We start from the raw sequence: 3,009 nt of genomic DNA on the forward strand, positions 1-3,009 counted from the left end.
TGACACCACATCCTGTTTTTGACTCACTCTAGGTCTGGAAAGCGGGAGTCTCTGTTATGACAGCCACTTATGGCACTCTCTATGATAACCATTCACAGCACATCCATCCTTTAGCAAGGACCATGCCCACAATGTGTAGTATTATATTATAGGACTGTCAATGAAAGATGGTGGGGATAAATAATAAACAGATTTCTTCTTTATCTCGGGTTTTATGTATTTATTTTACTCAACCATTTTTTTTTACACTTATTTATTTATTTGAGACAGGGTCTTTCTCTGCTGCCCATGCTGCAGTGCAGTGGTGCAATTACGGCTCACTGCAGCCTCAAACTCCAAGGCTCAAGTGATCCTCCTGCCTCATCCTGAGTAGCTCGGACTATAGGCGTGCATCACCATGCTCACTAATTTTTGTATTTTTTCTTTTTTGAGACAAAGTCTAGCCCTGTCACCCAGGCTGGAGTGCAATGGCATGATCTCAGCTCACTGCAACCTCCACCTCCTGGGTTCAAATGATTCTTCTGCCTCAACCTCCCAAATAGCTGGGATTACAGGTGCCCGCCACCCTGCCCAGCTAATTTTTGTATTTTTAGTAGAGATGGGGTTTTACCATGTTGGCCAGGCTAGTCTTGAGCTCCTGACCTCATGATCCCCCCGCCTTGGCCTCCCAAAGCGCTGGGATTACAGGTATAAACCACTGCACCCAGCCAATTTTTGTATTTTTTTTTTTTTTTTGTAGAGACGGTGTTTCACCATGTTGCCCAGGCTGGTCTCAAACTCCTGGGCTCAAGTGATTTGCCTGCCACAGCCTCCCTGAATGTTGGGATTATAGGCGTGAGCCACTACACCTGGCCCAACCATTATTAATTTAAGTGCTAACCATGTGCAGGCACTATTTCAGGCATAGGGAATATAGCAGAGGGGGAAAAACAACAAGTAAAAATCCTTGACCTCAAAGAGTATACATTCTACAAGGGAGAGGAAGACAATAGTGTAAGTTAAATTGGTAAGTACCATGAAGAAAAGAGAGAGCAGGGAGTGGGGAAGGGTGGGAGGCGAAGGCAGTGCAAAGGTGAACATTGCCATTTTAGTTAGGTAAATGGGGAAGGCCTTATCAAAGAAGTAATATTTGAGAAAAGACTTAAAGAAGATGAGTTAAGAATTCATGTGAACACCAAAGATGGAACATATCAGGCAGAGGAATTACAAATTCAAAGGCCCTAAAGCAAGATATGTTTGGTGTGTTTATAAAAGAGGTCAGTGTGGCTGAAGGAGAGAAGCAGCAATGAGGTCGGAAAAGAGAATGAAGGCCACATCACAGGGGGCCCCAGAGGCCATTGTAAAGAATGTCTCTTCCTCAGAATGAGATGGAAAGGCATTGGAGGATCTAGAGCCAAAGAGGGGCGTAATCTGATTTAGGCCTTTATGGGCTCACTATGGAGACTGTGTAAATGGATGGAGGGGTATACGTGGGGATGCAGATGGTGAGGGTAGATGCACGAAAACCATTGGAATAATCCTGGCAAGAGATGTCCCATGGTGGTGAGTAGTGGAGGTGTTGATAAGTAGTTTGTTCATATAAATAGAAAAAGGAAAGTGCTCAAGCTAGCCAGAATTATATCTGCAATACTTCACTTGAAAACCCATTCTAAATATATCCTCTTGATGATGCTAGGTTAGCGGTATCATCTTTAGGCCTGCATATCATACAGAAATGCATATATTTGCAGTCTCTCTGCACTGCATGCTTCATTGTGGCTGCAAATATGTTGCTTTTGGATCATAATTAGTAAGACAAATGGCTAAATGCACTTCACATAGAGTACCTATCCTTTTATTTGCTTATAGTGTGGTTTCCAAGAGAGGACTCTTAACAGAAAACAATTTTGTGAATACTTACATACAGCTGAATTTTTAACACCCAGAGATGAAAATAATACATAATAACAAAAAACTACTATAAAACCAGTAACACTTGAAAGTGCCACATTTTATAAGTACATCTGCATCTCCACTCAACTGAAAAGTAATTGTAGTTATAAGAACAAAACCAAATACTTATGATTCACTGACCACATGTAAGGCGCATAAGGTTTCACAGGTCCCATGTCATTGTCATGGAAAGAGCTTTGACATGCACGGAAAAGAGTCATGCGGCTTTGTGTGAATTCTACTAGAAGTCATTTAAATATGGAGATCAGTTGTCACCCTGACAGGAAGAGCAAGAAATGAATTCAGAATAGAAGAAAGTAATAAATTAATTAACAAAAGCTAGGGAGGTGGTTTAGTTGAGTGAAGCCTGTGGACTCTAATTTCCCTTAAAAATCTAGAAATGAGCCAGGCACAGTGGCTGATTCCTATAATCCCAGCATTTTGAGATGCTGAGGCGGGAGGATTGCTTAAGCCCAGGAGTTGGAGGCTGCAGTGAGCTATGACTGCACCACTGCACCCCAGCCTGAACACTACACTCTAAAAAAAAAAAAAAAAATTCAAGGAATGAGGCATCTATCTCACACTCAAGCAAGTTGGCCAAGGGGACCAAACACCTCTTGTTAAATGTAGGGTTCTATGGATCAGTGACTATAAAAGGAGCCTTCATGTCAGCAGTTCCAGACCTTACACCCAACAAAATCTCAGGTCAATTAGCAGCCTCCTGGAGCTAAGGAGCCAGTTTAGAATTTAATTCCTTTAATAGGCAACACCACAATTGTTTTCTTAGAGGGCAAATTTTTTAAGAAAAAAATTAAGTACATTATACCTCTCAGTATTTACATATTTATGTTAGATTCAGAGATATACATATCAGATTAGGTATTGAAAGCACATAAGAGATTTGACATATTGGTATGTTCCAACACATAATTCTCATGATTATGATAGAAAATTTGTAATTAAGGGATTGATTTAGACTTGTGCAATTAACTTGAAATCTTATAGTGGGCCAGAAATGGTGGCTCATGTCCATAATCCCAGCGACTCGGGAGGTCAAGGTGGAAGGATCCCAGAGCC

This window comes from Homo sapiens, chromosome 18 (genome assembly GCF_000001405.40).
Source record: "Homo sapiens chromosome 18, GRCh38.p14 Primary Assembly".
In the NCBI taxonomy this organism is placed as follows: domain Eukaryota; kingdom Metazoa; phylum Chordata; class Mammalia; order Primates; family Hominidae; genus Homo; species Homo sapiens.